Consider the following 18812-nt stretch of genomic DNA (forward strand, 5'->3'; position numbering starts at 1 on the left):
TCACCACAGGTTTCTAATTTCATTTAAGACAAACATGGCATCAGGACTCATAATCAAGTCTGTTTACGAAGCATGTGCATTTAGTGTTCAATTTATCATGTCTTAAAATGGGCTACTATAAAATATTCCTTCTATATGGGCATATTTAAAAAAATTGACTCATTAACAATTGGAAAGTTGTCTTTGTGTAATTTTATTATTTATATCATTAAGGTCCTCTTTTTGTATTTAATTTGTTTGTTTTTTTGTCTGTTTTCTTAGAGACAGGGTCTTGCTCCATCACCCAGGCTGGAGTTCAGTGGCATATTCACAGCTCGCTGCAGCTTTCACCTTCCAGGTTCAAGTTGTCTTCCCACCTCAGCCTCCCAAGTAGCTGGGACCACAGGTATGCACCACCATGCCATGCTATTTTTTTTTAAATTTTTGTAGAGATGAGGTCTTACTATGTTTCCCAGGCTGGTTTCAAACTCTTGGGTTCAAGCGATTCTCCTTCCTTGGCCTCCCAAATTGCTGAGATTACAGGTGTAAGCCACTGCACTCAGCCTTCTATTCCCTTTTATTTCAGCTGTTAAAATTATGTTTGACAGAGCAGGAGCATTGCCATCTTGTACAAGCACCACCATTTTAAAGTTCCCCTTGATCAAAAACTGCCTAAATCCAAAGGGCATCAGCCTAATAGCTGAGGTCAGCATGACCATAAACCACAAATTACATCTCCAACCAGAAACATTCCAACCCTAAGATAACCTCCCCCCAACCAGAGAGGACACCCTCCTGTTTGGGTGAGGCTCATAATGAGGCCCCCTCACCATTACAGGAGGAAATCTCTTCACTGCTGGCACTGACAATGGAAGACTGAGGGTGCCCGGGATCCTTCACCCCCACATCCAGTGAGTCCACGGAACCCAGGGTAACTGGGATGGTATCTGGTAAGATTATTTCCTTCTTTTTGGATACTGGGGCGAGTCTATCAGTATTAACTGAAAATCAAGGCCCATTAGGACATTCATCTGTTTCTGTTGTTGGCATGAAGGACATACAAGTAACCCCATACAAAACACCACCACTATACTGCTCATTTGAGGTAGTCACCTTCACTCACTCTTTCTTGGTCATTCCCCATTGTCCCACTCCTTTACTAAGAAGGAACATCCTACACAAACTAGGGGGAATAATTTATTTATTAGCCCTACATCAAAGCCACCCTTACTTATTATTATGTCAAGAACAAAACCCCTCCTCAGACACTCCACATCAAATAGACTTAAATCCCAAATTCCTCAGCCAGGTAAATCCCATAGTATGGAACACTGCATTAGCATTGCATAGTATGGAACATTGCAATAGCAATGATAGCTATTGCCAGTGGAATGTGTAAACATCTATACCCACTACATTAACTAGTTTGAAAATATTCCTTGACGTCATTCCTTAAAACATCTTTAATAACTAGTTCTTTGATTAAGAACTCTTATTTTCAAATTAATGTTTTATTGAATTACACTTTTTCTCACTAAACAAATTTTAGTATGTGATGGGTTTTTAATGGCCAGAAAACACATTCATTGTTCACTTTTATCCTGTGATCAAACTATATGCCAGTGATAAAATACTGATTTATAATTTAAACTTCTCTTGAGGGAGGCAAATGTCAGTTCCTACCTTGGTTTATCATAACACTATCTCTGTTGCCTTATAAACAATTCAGAAATTAAAATATGCTTGTATTTTGGGTAGAGAAGGACAGGATAAATCAAATACTATGTAACAATTGACCTTGTATAGACTCTATTTCAAAAGATACTTTACCAGCTTGAGCAACATAGTGAGACACAGTCTTTACAATTTTTTTAATTATTAGCTGGGCATAGTGTGACACATGTTTGTACTGCCAACTACTCAGGAGACTGAACAGAAGGATCATTTGATTGCCATTATTACAACACTGCACTCCAGCATGGGTGAAAGAGAGACACCCTATCTCAAAAAATATATAAAACAACAATAAAAGATACTTTAATACCTAGGATGAATTTTTTTTTGTGGTGGAAAATCTAATGACATTGTTCATCAAATTAACTATAAGATAAATGACATAATTAATAATTTTTGTCATGATATATTTTAAGAAACATTTTTCATATCAAATGAATATGAATATATTCATATCAAAATGAGAAAAAAATTGCTGTCATTTTCTAAAATCACTCTGAGAATAGTAAAATTAACTAGATCCATGTTGAAATGAGAACACTATAGATAAATAATATTTGTAAAGTACTCCAAGAATTTTAATCTCTTTAATATATTTGTCTCTCAAGTTTATTGAAAAAAGTTTGAAAATTCAAAGTTCAAACAGCAATGCCTTTTATTGTGGTAACATTTTGGCTAAAATACATCTTTGTAATATATACATATTGCACTTTTCAGTGATTTCTGGGTTATATTTTTTTTGATAAAGGTCATATAAAATGTCAGGAAATGTTTGATTTTTAGTGAAAAATTATCTTGAAAACTATTATTTGCTGTTTCATTTCAAAGAAACAAGAATGAAGAGGAAAGAGATATTTCATAACAAAAGTGTTGGGGTTCTTTAACTCAAAAATATTATTCATTTTATGAAATATTTCACAAGTTAGAATGCACTGTGAATTGGGAATGTTATATAATACGTTTGTTAATTATTAATCTTGATTTCTAATTGCCAAATTTTTCAAATTGATGATGTCTTGCAACTAGGCACACCAAGACACATTTGGGAGAGTAACTTTATGAAACACTTTCTAAATTAGTGATGATAATTTAAAAATTAGGTTATTACTAGGTATATAAATTCACAGGGAATTATGATTTTTATGCTACATATATTTTAAAACACTCTTATTACTGTAGGCCTGGCTACATTAGGGTAATTACACAAAGCTTCAAGAAGGGGGAAATTTCCTTAAAATCTTAAACCATTGTATAATATATGTATAATTATAATACCAATAATCCCAATTCTTAATGCATTATACACCCATAGTTAATGGACTATGCAAAGAAATATTACTGACCACAAAGCTCACAAATTCTTCCACCTCTCTCCATGTCTACTACCAACACAAACTAAGCCTTTTTCTTACTAGGGTTATAGCAATAGACTTGTGCCTGGTTTTCCTATGTTCAGCCTAGTTGAAGCTCATTAATTTGTTGCTTTAATTATTTGATTAATACCAGTCACTGCCTTTAACCTACAAGTTCCCTGAGAGCAGGAATCAAACTGTTTTTGCTCAACATTGTATCTTAGTGTCTGGCACGTGGTAAACACTCAATAAATATTTGCTTGATAAATGAAACAAAGTGTAAAATAAATAAAATAGAAGAATACAGCATAAAACATTCATAATGTGTTTTTTTGGAGAATGACAAACAGGACAAAAGTTAATATCATCACAAAATAGTCTAGATACAATAATTTTCAGAGCTTGATACGAATTAATAACTCAATCATGTTATAACTAATTATACTTGAGCTTATTATCCTCAATTTCCTTTTTTGGTGTCAAAATCAAGTCATATTGATATTTTATTTCAATATGCTTTTCTAAATTTTGAAAATAAATTAACAATGATATTTCATTTTTTATAAGAATAAAAGTTTTTATCTTATAAATTAAGTTTTCTTAACAATTTACTGTATATTTACCATTTGTGAATTTTCTGTTGAAATTTATTGGTACTTTCATCCTGTTTCACTCTTTGGGGAAAATCAGTTAGTCTATTCATGACAAATTATTGCCAGCAATTTCATCCTTCTCATTTGTCTTAAAATTAGTTACTTCAGAATAGGAGTCTCTGCCACCCAGGATCAAGTGATTTTCTCACCTCAGCCTTCAAAGTAGCTAGGACTAGGGGCATGCGCCACCACACCTGGCTAATTTTTTGTATTTATTCATAGAGATGGGGTTTCACTATGTTGCCCAGGCGGTTCTCAAACTCCTGGGCTCATGCGATCTGCCAGCCTTGGCCTCTCAAAATGCTAGGATTACTGGCATGAGCCACCGCACCAGCCAATATTTCATCCTTTTTTATTGCTCTTCTGGAAGGCTTTTCAGCTCTAATATGCTTATCTTATTGAGGAAACAAGAGTAAAAATGAAAAAGAATTATATACTATATTTTAGAAAGAGAGACACCACGGATTTTAGAAAGGGAAGCTTCTTTCTCTGTGTTTTGCTGTTGATGCTCCACCTTCCTTGCAGAAAACTAAACAGGACAAAAGTTAATATCATCACAAAATAGTCTAAATACAATAATTTCCAGAGCCCCGGGCTTAATACAAATTAATAACTCAGAGTCACTCATCTTATAACTATTATACTTGAGCTTATTTTCCCAAATTGCCTTTTTTTGGTGTGAAAATCAAGTCATGTAGATTAATTTCATGATCTATTTGAACAAAGATACTTATTTCATGACTGAATGATCTGACTTTGATATATTTGTCTTATTTTTTCAAAATATCTGGTTAGATCATGTTTTCTACTTTATATACTGCCTTTCTAGGCCAGACTGACGACAAATATCCTACATTAGACATGGAGGCAGTCTGAATTTCAATGAAAAAGTAATGAATGTTTTGCAACAAACCTGTACGTTACTGGGTATGTAGAAAGGTTAAGACCACTGAGACGTACACATCCATACCCTGGTTTATTATATGCAACTAAATTAAATTGTTTCAAAATTTTGCTAATGATTCTAACAATATAGTCCTTATGTTAATGTTGAAAACAATTGCATTTTTTATTTTTTGGTTGATCAATTTTGTGGCATAGTTTTGAATCCCAGACACCTTGCAGAGCAATACTTTGCTTTTCACTGTCCAAAGAGATACAAGTATAAAGTATACTTTCATCTTAATCAGAGGCAGTCATAGATTTTTTTTTTTAATATACAGTGTCAGATCAGGAAAAGAAGCTATCACTGATAGAATTTGTTTTAAACATCATAATTTTTAAAAAGTTATTTTCTATGACACATCATACTGTAACATTGAGATTCATAATACTCTGCCCTGATACGTTATTAAACGTGAGGATAAAAATAATTACTAAATCCTTCTTCATTACACATGTAGGATTTTTACTTCAGCCTAATTTCCACAGTAATTAGTTCATGTCTTTATTAAAGAGATTCTCTGGAAAAGTTCAAATTTAGCTGTGTCATAAGTAGCCAACTGGAGGACTTATCTTTCCGAAGAGAAGCAAGCCAATAAAATTATTCAAGATTATCAGCAGGCACAATTTCTAGATGTAAATTCCATCTCCAACCAAATCCTTCTGAGCACAATCTCAATGGCAACAATAAAGCAGGTCTCACTCCAGAGAATGTTACCCCTGTTGTATTTCAACGTTTAGACAGGGTCTTCTGTTTGTTTCTTTGATTTTATGGAAAGAGCTTTTCAACTTTTTAAACTTGTTTGTTTCTTTCAAATAGAAAAATACTAGGTTTTCAAAGGAAATTATACCAACCTAATTACTTTTAACAAATTCAAATTCTGATTGCGCATATAGATATATAATGTGCTTTGAAAAATTTTCTGTTCTGTTTTAGAAAGTACTAATATCAGAAATACATTTTAGTGTGCTATTTCTGAGACATTCGTTTTTTAAGAAATCAGTAAAAACATTGGATTATAATAGAAATGGCAAAATTTCCCCCATTCAGTTACATATACATGTAAAAATTTAAATCACCATGAAGCATTTATATCATCATTTTAAATAGATTTCCCTATATTATCAATACTTACATGCATCAGTTCATATTTAAAATGGCGCAAATATTCTGAATGGATAAAATTTCTTATAAAAGGCATTCATTCCCACAAGCTGCTGAGCAATTATATATAATAGTTTTATGTATAATTGTTTCTCTTACAGTTATCATGTAAATTGATCATCCTAATCACAATGCAAGTTTACATATGTGTTCGTTATTGTTATTATTTTATTGTATTTTATTTTGTTTTTCCAAGATGATAGCAAATTGGAGTCAGTGTTAGCAAGACTCTCCCACTTGGAAAGACAAAATAGTGTATAGTTATTCACACTGTGAACTCTATTTCCAAGAAGAAATGCAGAAACTTAACAGGAAAACTGAAATCCACCAATTCTCTGAAAGAAGCTGCATGCTGCAGCCTACATTGTGAGGCAGGCAAAAAACTGTTTTAAGTTCCCAGAATGTGAGAGGGAAAGAGAGTGCTTCAGGATATACCCTCCCACCAGGGAACCTGGAAATCCAGGCCTCAGGAAAAGCCTGAACGCTACACAGAGCTGGTACTGATTTAGGGAGCAGTGAGGAATGGGAAGAGCCTTGTGTGGGACCTTGTGGAAGTCACCCAATTAACTCAGGCAACATTTGCAAGTTGAAAGAAGCTCCTACCTGAATTTTGTGAAATAGCTATTTCCCAGGGAGGCTTCTGGTCTGGGGCAGTCTTAGTTCTGAATATAGACGTCCTGGAATTTAGCTCACTGCTGTTAGCAGAAATCTACAGGTGTGAGACCTACCTTGCCAAGTGCATGGGATCTGGGTGGGGCTTACTGATGTCTGCTGTGCCCCACTTCTTGCACAAACTATTCTGTGCAGTAGAGGCAGCTTTTCTCCACTCTGGTACATTACATCAGTGGTGAGGTAACTGTCCCTCAACTCCCACAGTGGCTGCAGATTGCCCTACATATGGAGAGTCAGAGCATGGATCTGTCTGACCCAGCCCACACCTGATTTTGCTCCTCTACCCACACTGATAGCCTAACACAAAAGACAGGAACTTTTGGGAGCTTTATGTCCCCACCCATCACCTGAGAAACCAGAGTACCTCCTTTGGGTAACATAAGGCAAACACAAATCTCATCACTACTACTGCAGCTGATGCTCCTTTGCAAGCACGACCTCCTAGCTGGAGGCCAACCAACACAGTCCATTACAGCACTTTCGGGTAGATAACACTGCACCCCGGAAGGAGAAAATTTGTACATGATATCAGCTATCACCATTGCCTGCACCAACATGACTAACCAGGAAGTCCTGATACTATCTACGTGATCAGTTTATTTATGCTACAACTGGCATTTGAGAAAGCCAACACACTAACACTATCCATAGCCAAAGAATCTCAACGAGTCTACATTACTCCCCTGCCGCCTGCATCAGAACTGGTGCTGGTACTTGATACTGGGAGACTTGAGGACAGGTCACATCTCTGAATCCCTTGCAGACATTTCCCAGCACCAGCCTAGAGTGTGGCAGACCCATTAGGCAGCTAGGCCCAGAAGAGCAACAACATTCACATTCTGGCTCTCAGGGACTCCTACTACTAGGGCAAGGGGTAGTACGTCACGTAAAGGGAACACTACGGGACAAAAGTATCTGGATAGCAGGCCTTCAGTCCCAGATTTTTCCACTTGTGGAATGTTTTTTTCAGCAGAGGCACAGTTGCAGTAATGGGCTCAGCAGGGAAAGTCTGCAGTTCTACTCCAACAGTCAGGAAGCCCTGGTGCTCATGAAGGGTCTTGGAGAAGAGGAAATATTTCCCCCCTTTTCCACTACTGAAGACATAGCTGGGGCTTTTCTCTCAGGAGAGTGGCATGGGTGCACATATAGACAGCTTTTCTGAAACACTTCAGGGTGATCCACATAGGAGGGGCACCCTCCAGGTGCAAGCTTGCAGGAGATGTAGAGTCACCATTCGTCTCTACTTGCAGCATCAACATTCCTGCATAATAAAAGAGATGCCTGTCTGATCTGAATACCCAGAACACTGGGTCAAGAGTATGTGTGGGAGGTGGATTGCTTTCCTGCTGTCCTGGCAGGGGAGTTGAGATGGCTCCAGTCCTTTCCTCTGATAAGAACTCAGTGTGACTCACTGAGAGCTCCCCCAGCCATCTCTGTCAAGGCTAGGACCCCTGCCCACCATTGGGTATTGCATTCACCAACCTGCTTTAGTCATAGACAGTTTTTAGCTAAAGACGCTTCCCATACTGGCCAGAAACCTGAGTGATTCAACCCAGTAAATAAAATACTGGGAAAAATAAATAAATAAATAAATAAATAAATAAATAAATAAATAAAGCAACAGCATTCACTGTAGTCTGGCTCAGTAAATAAATTACTTGGGAATATTCAACCCAGTAAATAAAATATTCAACCTAGTAAATAAAATACTGGGGAAAAATAAATAAATAAAAGTGCAAACCATAGGGAATGAGTTTCAAGAGATCTCTGCCATTCCAACTCTATAGGAGACTGAACTTCTCACACACCAAGCATGTTTCCACTACAACCAGCATCTGAGAAAGCAATCATATAAAGACTCTCTGTAACCATGGAACTCATATAAAACCGTCATCCTGAAAGCATCAAGAGCTTAATTATACTACAATAAACTATAAACATTAAAGTCATATGCTTAAGAGGAAAAAGGGCAATTTTGAAATAAACACAGTGAAATAAAAAATAAAATTAAGAAAAAATAGAAGAAATATTCTACCCAAATCAGAAGGAACCAGAAAAGTAATTCTGGTAATATGACAAAAGAGGATTCTATAACACCCTCCAAAAATCACACTAGCCCTCTGGCAATGGATTCAAATCAAGATGAAATATTTGAAATACCAGATAAAGAATCCCCAAAGGTTGATTATTAAGCTACTCAACAAGACACCATAGAAAGGTAAAAACCAACATAAAGAAAGTAAAACAAGCAAACAAAAAATAATTCAGGCGTGAATAACAAGATTTCTAAAGAGATTGATATCTTAAGGAATATCAATCAGAAGTTCTGGAAATGTATTCAGGGAATTAAAAAATACCGTGGAAAGAAGTTTCAACAATAGACTAGAACAAGTAGAAGAATGACTTTCAGAGCTTGAAGACAAGGCTTACAAATTAATGCAATCAGAGAAAAACAAAAGAAATAAGAATCAAAGGAAATAAACAAAGTCTCCATAATTACAGAATCGTCTAAAATGACCAAACCAAAGAATAATTGGCGTTCCTAAGGGAGAAGGGAAAGCTAAAAGTGTGAAAAACATTTTTGAGGTAATAATTCAGAAAATCTTCCATGGCCTTGCTGGAGACTGATATTCAAACAGAAGAAGCTCAAAGAACTCCTGGGAGATTTATTGCAAAAAGTCATCACCAAGGCATATATTCATTAAGCTATCTAAAATCAATATGAAAGAAAGAATTCCAAGAGCAGTAAAACAAAAGCATCAGGTAACCTATAAAGGAAAACCCATCATACTAACAGGAGACTTCTCAACAGAAACTTTATAAGCCAGAAGGAAATGGGGTCCTATCTTTAGCTTCCTTAAACAGAATAACTGTCAGCCAATAATCTTGTATCCAGCAAAACAAAGTTTCATAAATGAAGGAGAAATAAAATCATTTCCAGTCAAACAAATGCTGAGGAAATTTGTTACTATCAGGCCAGTAGTACAAGAAATGTTAAAAGAAGTCCAAAACCTTGAAACAAAACTTGATATGTACCAAAATAAAACCTCTTGAAAGCATAAAACTGAAAAAGCCTATAAAACAATAACAAAACAACAAAAAGCCAAGTATCTAGGTGATTAGTCTGATTTCATACTGCTATAAAGAACTGCCCAAGACTGGGCAATTTATAAGGGAAAGAAATTTAATTGACTCACAGTTCAGCACAGCTGGGGAAGCCATGGTAAACTTACAATCATGGCGAAGTTGAAGAGGGAGCAAGGCACCATCTTCACAAGGTGGTAGGAAGAAGAAGTGCTGAGTGAAGGGGGAAGGGCCCCTTATAAAACCATCAGATCTCATGGGAACTCACTATCATGAGAACAGCATGAGGGAAACTGCCCCAATGAGCCAATTACTTCCACCTGGTCTCTACCTTGACATTTGGGGATTATGGGGATTATAATTCAAAATGAGATTTGGGTGGGGACACAAAGCCTAACCATATAATTCTGCCCCTGGCCCCTCCCAAATCTCATGCCCTTTCATGTTTCAAAACCAATCATGCCTTCCCAAAGTCTTCATTAATTCCAGTAGTAACACAAAGTCCAAGACCAAAGTCTCATCTAAGATAAGGCAAGTCTCTTCTGTCTATGAGCCTGTAAAATCAAAAGAAAGTTAGTGACTTCCTAGTCACTAGGAAGTCTAAGTGGTACAGGCACTGGATAAATGCAGTCATTCCAAATGGGAGAAATTGGCCAAAACAAAGGGGCTACAGGCCCCATGGACCAAAATCCAGCAGGGGAGTCAAATATTAAAGCTCTGAAATGATCTTCTTTGACTCCATGTCTCATATCCAGGTTACACTGATGCAAGAGGTGGGCTCCCACCATCTTGGGCAGCCCTGACCCTGTGGCTTTGCAGAGTACAGCCCCCATCCCTGCTTCTCTTATGGGCTGGCATTGAGTGTCTGTGGCTTTTCCAGGCACATGGTGCAAGCTGTCGGTAGATCTACCATTCTGGGGTCCAGAGGATGGTGGCCCTCTTCTCACAGCTCCACTAAGCAGTGCCCTAGAGGGGACTCTGTGTGTGGGCTCTGGCCCCACATTTCCCTTCTACAATGCACTAGCAGAGTTTCTGCATGAGGACTCCACCTCTGCACCAGACTTCTTCCTGGACATCCAGGCATTTCCATACACACTCTGAAATCTAGGCAGTGGTTCCCTAACCTCATTTCTTGACCTCTGCACACCCACAGGTCCAACACCATGTGAAAGCTCTCAAGGCTTGGGGCTTTCACCCTCTGAAGCAACAACCTGAGCTGTACTTTGGCTCCTTTTAGCCACAGCTGAAGTGGCTGGGACACAGGGCACCAATTCCCAAAGCTGCGCACAACATGGGGACCCTGGACCTGACCCAGAATGCCATTTTTTCCTTCTAGATCTCTGGGCCTGTGATGGGAGGGGCTGCAATGAAGGTGTCTCACATGGCCTGGAGACATTTTCCCATCGTCTTGGTGATTAACACTTGGCTCCTTTTTACTTATGCATATTTATTTGCCAGGCCTGAATTTCTTCCCAGAAAATGTGTTTTGTTTTTGACTGCATTGTCAGGCTGCAAATTTTTCAATCTTTTATGCTCTGCTTCCCTTTTAAACATAAGTTCCTATTTCAGATTATTTCTATCAAGTTCAAAGCTCCACAGATAGCAAGGCCTGGAGCAAAATGCCACCAGTCTCTTTGCTAAAGCACAGCAAGAGTTACCTCTTCTTCACCCAAAACCACCTCAGTCTGGACTTCATTACTCATATCACTATCAGCATTTTGGTCAAAACCATTCAACAAGACTCTAGGAAGTTCCAAACCTTCCACATCTTCCTGTCTTTTTCTAAGCCCTCCAAGCTGTTCCATTCTCTGTCTGTTACCCAGTTCCAAAGTTGCTTCCACATTTTTGTGTATTTCTATAGCAGCACCCTACTCCCTGTAGTATCAATTTATTGTATTTGTCCATGTTAATACTGCTATAAACAACTGCCTGAGACTGGGTAATTTATAAAGAAAATAGATTTAATTGACCGCTGTTCATCTTGGCTGGAGAGGATTCAGAAAACTTACAATCAAGACAAAAAGAAAAGAGGAAGCAAGACACCTTTTTTACGAGGCAAAAGAAAGGAGAAGTGTAGAGAAAAAAGAGAAGAGCCCCTTAGAAAACCATCAGATCTCCATGAGCGCTCACTAGGTATTACAAGAACAGAATGGGGGAAGCTGCCCCATGATTCAATTACCTCCACCTTGCATCTCCCCTGACATTTGGGGATTATGTGGATTATAACTCAAGATGAGATATGTGTGGGAACACAAAGCCTAACCATATCACTAGGTAATAATTAATATAATGCATATGACAATTGCTCCACTTAAATAATATAGATTGGCAGAATGGATAAAAGAAACAAAACCAAATATCTGCTGTCTTCAAGATAACTAAAATGTAAGAATTCATATAAACTCAAGGTAAAGGGGTGGAAGATATTCCATGCAAATAAAAATAAAAACCAAAAGCAGGCAGTAGTAGCTATTCTTGTATCAGATAAAACAGACTTTAAAGCAACAGCAATAATAAAAGACAAAGGGGGTCATTATATAATGATAAAAGGATCATTCCAACAAGAAGACATTACAATTCTAATTATATATATACCTAACATTGAAGATCCCAGATTCATAAAACAATTACTAGGGAAGAGCAAGATGGCTGACTAGATGCACACAAGTGGAACAGCTCCCATGGAGGGACTGAGACTGCTGGCATGCTTTTAAAAGATATTTAGAGGGAAGGTGCTGAGAGTGGGCAGAGAAAAGACACAGAAGCTAGGCTGAAGGGGAAGAAAACTGGGAACCCCTCATTGGTTACTGTGCACAGAGACTCATTTTTTAACCACAACAACTCCAGCAGAATGGAGGAGTTTACCTGGCAAGGAGCAACCCACTCTCAAAACAGAACTTTGGGACCCCAAAAGAAGGGGACCCATTGACCACAGCAGACACTTAAGGTGGCAGGGAAGGCTGCTCATTTAAGTGGTGGGGCAGCAAGCTAGATGATGTGAAGCCTATAGGGTTTGGTGTGGTAACATCTCTAGTGGAGCATGATCAGAGATGGCCATCGCTCTAGGCTTGTCTTGCTCCCATAAGAGATGTTAGTCCTAGGGGAACTGTCGGACCTTGTCTTTGCAGGGCAGTCTTGCACTAAGATGGGGCTGGCCCAATCTGAGCACTCCTTGGTCTGCTGGCCTCTCCCAGGGCCACGGCCTGGCCATGCCTGCTTAACAGGGAAGTCTTGGGTGACCCGGGGGCACACATCATAGCTTCTACAACAGTGGATTGTGCCTGATCAATAGAGAGCTCCAGCGAGGTGGCTTCTACATCCATGAACGAGCCCACATGTTCCCTCCTGATACTGCAGCTTCCCCAAAGCCCACAGCATCTCCCCACAGGTGTGTGTCTATATGGGAAGGTTTTGCTTTACTTGCCTTTCCAGCACGCAGAAGTGTAGTCCACCACCAGCACCCCCGCAACTAATCACCATCACAGATACAGCCTTGGTGGGCACAGAGCCAGCAAACCCAGCCCCTGAATGTACCACACCCTTGTGCTAAAACTGCACAGAGAACAGTGGACCTTTTTACAACCTGAGTAATCACAACTGCTTGCAGGTCACAGAAAGGACACCCAGACCAGTGCCAGCCAGCACTCCAACCCAAACCAACACCACCTTCAGTGCAATGGTGCACACAGTCTCCAACAGGAGCCCCCTGCATCCCCCAGAGTTTTCTTGCATCTGCCACTGTGGTGAATGCCTGCAGGGAGGCAGGCACACCTGCATTTACTAGCACTCTACTGCAGGTGCTTCCACTCTCTGCACCTTCTGGTGCAGTGGACTCCATAACTCAAGGAGACAGAGAACAATGTCTGGAACTGATACAAGTCCCCCACTTCGAGCATGAAGTCCAGGAGTTGAGAGCTGATCCTTGGTCCCCCTAAAACCTCCAGGAAATGAACCCAGTTAGCTGAATCCACCTTATGACACAATCAAACCCTCAAGGTCATCAAATAGCATAAAAGAGAAAAAATTCATAGGTTAGCAATCTCAAAGATAGAAGGTAAATAAACCCACAAACATGAGAAAGAAAAGTGTAAGAAAGTTGAAAACTCAAAAAGTTAGAGTGCCCTCTTTCTTGCAAATGACTGCATCATCTCTCTAGCAAGGATTCAGAACTGGGCTGAGGCTGAGATGGCTGGAATGATACCCAATACAAAGAGCTAAAAACCATAATAAAACAATGCAGGATCTGACAGAAAAAATAGCCAGTCTAGAGAAGAAAATAACTGACCTGATAGAGCCAAAAAACACACTACAAGAATTTCTTAATGCAATCACAAGAATTAAGAGCAGAATAGACCAAGCAGAGGAAAGAATCTCTGAGTTCAAAGACTGGATTTCTGAAATAAGATCGGCAAACAAGAATAGGGAAAAAATAAATAAAAAGAAAGAACAAGACCTCCAAGGAATATAGAATTATGTAAAAAGAAAATAATCTATAACTGATTGGTGTCCCAGAAAAAAGATGGGGAAAATGGAACCAACTTGGAAAACATAGTCAGGATATCATCCATGAGGACTTTCCAAAACTCGCTAGAAAGGCCAACATTCAAATTCAGGAAATGCAGAGAACCCAAGTAAGATACTTCACAAAAAGATCATCCTCAAGACACATAATCATTAGATTCCCCAAGGGTGAAATTAAAGAAAAAATGTTAAAGACAGCTAGAAATAATAGTTAGGTCACCTACACAGGAAGCTCATCAGACTAACAGCAGACCTCGCAGCTGAAACACTGGAAGCCAGAAGAGATTGGGGGACAGTATTCAACATTCCAACCCAGAATTTCATGTTTGGTTGAACAAAGCTTCATAAGCAAAGGAGAAATAAGATCCTTTTCGAACAAGCAAATGCTGAGGAAATTTGTTGCCCCCAGACTGACTTTACAACAGCTTTTGAAGGAACCACTAAATATGGGGAGGAAAGACCATTATCAGTCATTAAAAAAACACACTGAAGTACACAGACCATTGACACTATAAAGCAACCATATAACCAAGTCTGCAATATAACCAGTTAACATCATTATGACAGGATCAAATCAACACATATAAATACTAACTTTAAATGTAGATGGAATAAATGCTCCAATTAAAAGACTCAGAATGGCAATCCGGATAAAGAACCAAGACCTATTGGTACAATTTCTTCAAGAGACCCATCTCACATGCAATGACACAGAGAGGCTCAAAATAAAGGAATAAAGAAAAATCTACCAAGCAAATGGAAAACAGAAAAAAAGCAGAATTTGTAATCCTAGTTTCTGACAAAATAGACTTTATATCAACAAAAATTAAAAAAGACAAGGGAATTGCATAGTGACAAAGGGTTAAATTCAACAAGAAGAGTTAACTATTCTAAATATGTATGGACTGAAACACAGGAACACTCAGATTCATAAAGCAATTTATTAGAGACCTACAAAGAGACTTAGAGTCTCACACAGTAATAGTGGGAGACTTTAACACCCCAGTGACAATATTAAACAGATAATCAAGACAGAATATTAATAAAGATATTCAGAACCTAAACTGGATCAAATGAACCTTATAGGTAACTATGAAACTTTCCACCTAAAAACAACAGAATATAAAATCTTCTCATTGCCACATAGAACATACTCTAAAATCTATCATATAATTGGAGTTAAAACACTCCTCAGCAAATATAAAAGAGCTGTAATCCTAACAAACAGTCTTTTAGACCACAGCACCATTAAATCAGAAATCAAGACTAAGAAATTTACTCAAATCCCTACAATTACATGGAAATTGAATAACCTGCTCCTAAATAACTTTTAGATAAATAATAAAATTAAGGCAGAAATCTTTGAAATAATGAAGACCAAGCTACACCATACCAAAATCTCTGGGACAAAGCAAATGCAGTGGTGAGAGGGAAATTTATAGTGTTAAATCTCCACATCAAAAAGTTAGAACGATTTCACATTAACAACCTAACATCACAATTAAAAGAGCTAGAGAGCCAAGAGCAAACAAATCTCAATGCTAGCGGAAGACAAGAAATAACTGAAATCAGAGCTGAACTGAAAGAGCCAGAGACACACAGAAATTCCAAAGATCAATGAATCCACGTGCTGTTTTTTTTTTTAAAAATAAAATATATAGACTGCTAGCTAGAGTAATAAAGAACAAAAAAGAGAGAAGATTCAAATAAACACAATCAGAAATAACAAGGGACATATTACCACTGACCTCATAGAAATACAACCATCAAAGAATATTATGAAGACCTCTATATGCATAAACTAGAAAATACAGACAAAATAGATGAATTACTGGATGTATACACCCTCCCAGGAATGAACCAGTAAGAAAATGAATTCCTGAGAAGACCAATAACAAGCTGTAAAATTGAGTCAGTAATAAATAGCCTCCCAACCAAAGAAAAGCCCAGAACCAGATGAATTCACAGCTGAAATTTGCCAGAAGTATAAAGAAGAGCTGATACCATTATGGCTGTAAATATTCCAAAACTATGAGGAGAAGGGACTCCTCTCTAAGTCATTCCATGAAGCCAGCATTATTCTGATATCAAAACCTGGCAGAGATACAACCAAAAAGAAAACTTCAGGCTAATATCCTTGATGAATATAGATACAATAATTCTCAACAAAATACTAGCAAACTGAATCGATCAATACATCAAGATGCTTATGCACCACAATCAAGTAGGCTTTATCCCTGGGATTGAAGATTTATTCAACATATGCCAATCAATTTATGTGATTTAGCACATAAACAGAACTAAATACAAAAAACACATGATTATTTCCCTAGATGCCAAAAAGGCTTTCAACAAAATTCAACATTGATTTATGTTAAAAACTTACAATGAAGTAGTTATGGAAGAAACATACCTAAAAATTATAAGAGCCATGTATGACAAACCCATAGCTAATATCATACTGAATGGGCAAAAACTTCAAGCATTTCCCTTGAAAACAGGCACAAGACAAGGATGCCCTCTCATCACTCCTATTAAACATAGTATTGGAAAGGCTTACTAAGGGCAATCAGGCAAATGAAAGAAACTATCCCTGTTTGCAGATGACATAATCCTATATGTAGAAAACCCAATAGACTCAGCCCAAAAGCTTCTTAAGCTGATAAACAACTTCAGCAAAGTCACAAGATACAAAATTACTGTGCAAAAATTACTAGCATTCCTATACACTAACAACAGTCAAGTCAAGATCCAAACCAGGAATCTACTCCCATTTACGATTGTTACAAAGAGAATAAAACACCTAGGAATACAGCTATCTGGGGGGGTGAAAGATCTCTACAAGTAGAACTATAAAACACAGCTCCTTGAAGTCAGAGATGCTACAAACAAATGGAAAAACATTCCATGCTTATGAATAGGAAGAATCAATATTGTAAAAATGAACATACGGCCCAAAGCGATGTATAAATTCAACAATATGCCTATCAAACGACTCATGACATTCTTCTCAGAACTAGAAAACACCATCTAAAAATTCATATAGAACTACAAAAAAGCCAGAATAGCCAAGGTAATCCTAAACAAACAAACAAACAAAAAAAAAACCAAAAAACAAAAAACAAAGCTGGAGGCATCACGCTACCCAACTTCAAACTATACTACAGGGCTACAGTAACCCAAACAACATGGGACTGGTACAAAAACAGAAACACAGACCAATGGAACAGAATAAAGAACCTGGAAATAATATTGCACACTTACAACTATGTGATCTTTGACAAACCTAACAAAAACGAGCAATGGGAAAGGGATTCTGTATTCAATAAATGGTGCTGGGATAACTGGCTAGCCATATGCAGAAGATTAAAACTGGACCCCTTCCTTACACCATATACAAAAATTAACTCAAAATGGATTAAATACTTAAATGAAAAACCCAAATCTATAAAAATCCTGGAAGATAACTTAGGCAGTACCATTCAAGACATGGGCACAGGTAAAGATTTTACAACGAAGTCTTCAAAAGCAATTGCAAGAAAAGCAAAAATTGACAAATGGGATCTGATTAAACTAAAGAGCTTCTGCACAGCAAAATAAACCATCAGCAGAGTAGGCAGACAACCTACAGAATGGTAGAAAATTTTTGCAAACTATGCATCTCACAAAGGTCTAATATCCAGCATCTATAAGGAAGTTAAACAAATTTACAAAGAAAAACCTCATTAAAATAGTGGGCACAGTACATGAAAGATACTTTGGAAAAGAAGACATACATGTGGCCAGCAATCATATGAAAAAAAGCTCAACATCACTGATTATTAGTGAAATGCAAATCAAAACCAAAATGAGATAGCATGTCACACCAGTCACAATGGCAATTATTAAAAAGTCAAAACATAACAAATGCTGGCATACATATACAGTGTTGTTTGGAGTGTAAATTTGTTCAACCATTGTGGAAGACAGTGTGGCAATTCCTCAAAGACCTAAAGACAGAAATACCATTCAACCCAGCAATCTCATTACTGTCTATATACTCAAAGGAGTATAAATCTTTCTATTATAAAGACACATGCACACATATGTTCATTGTAGCACTATTCACAGTAGCAAAGACATGAAATCAACTTAAACGCTCATCAGTAATAAACAGTATAAAAATAATGTGGTACATAGACACCATAGAATACTATTCAGCCATAAAAGAATGAGATCATGTCCTTTGCAGGGACATGGATGGAGTTGGAGGCAATTATCCTTAGGAAACAAATGCAGGAACAGAAGACCAAATGCCACATGTTCTCATTTCGAAGTGAGTGCTAAACTATGACAACATGTGGACACATAGAGGGGAAAAAAACACAACGGGGTTTTTCAGAGGGTGGAATGTGGAAGGAGGGAGAAGATCAGAAAAATAACTAATGGATACTGGGCTTAATACCTGGGTGATAAAATAATCTGCACAACAATCCCCTATGACAAAAGTTTACCTATGTAACAAACTAGCACTTGTACCCCGGAATTAAAATAAAAGGTAAAAAAAAATACTACAAGACCTAAAAAATGAGGTAGATAGCAATACAATAGTAGTGGAAGACTTCAATAATCCACTGGTAGCAGTAGACAGATTGAGACAGTCAACAATAACAACAACAATGACAACAACCAAATGTACTTAAAACTACACTCTACAATAAATGAACTTAA

The 18812-nt window shown here is 37.6% G+C and overlaps 1 long non-coding RNA gene across 2 annotated transcripts in view; it reads left to right on the plus strand.

Moving 5' to 3' along the window:
• Positions 1 to 259: 259 nt before the first annotated feature.
• The window catches only part of LOC105373292 (uncharacterized), a 32993-nt gene continuing 14440 nt past the window's right edge, over positions 260 to 18812 (plus strand). Inside the window, exons 1-3 of one of the 2 annotated variants that reach the window (XR_938463.2) lie at positions 262 to 385; positions 818 to 929; positions 6022 to 6077. This is a non-coding gene — a long non-coding RNA (uncharacterized LOC105373292). Of the gene's footprint in view, positions 386 to 817; positions 930 to 6021; positions 6078 to 18812 lie in introns of those variants that run through there. The other variant, XR_938464.3, reaches the window with a different exon arrangement.

Source organism: Homo sapiens, chromosome X (genome assembly GCF_000001405.40).
Source record: "Homo sapiens chromosome X, GRCh38.p14 Primary Assembly".
Taxonomy (NCBI): domain Eukaryota; kingdom Metazoa; phylum Chordata; class Mammalia; order Primates; family Hominidae; genus Homo; species Homo sapiens.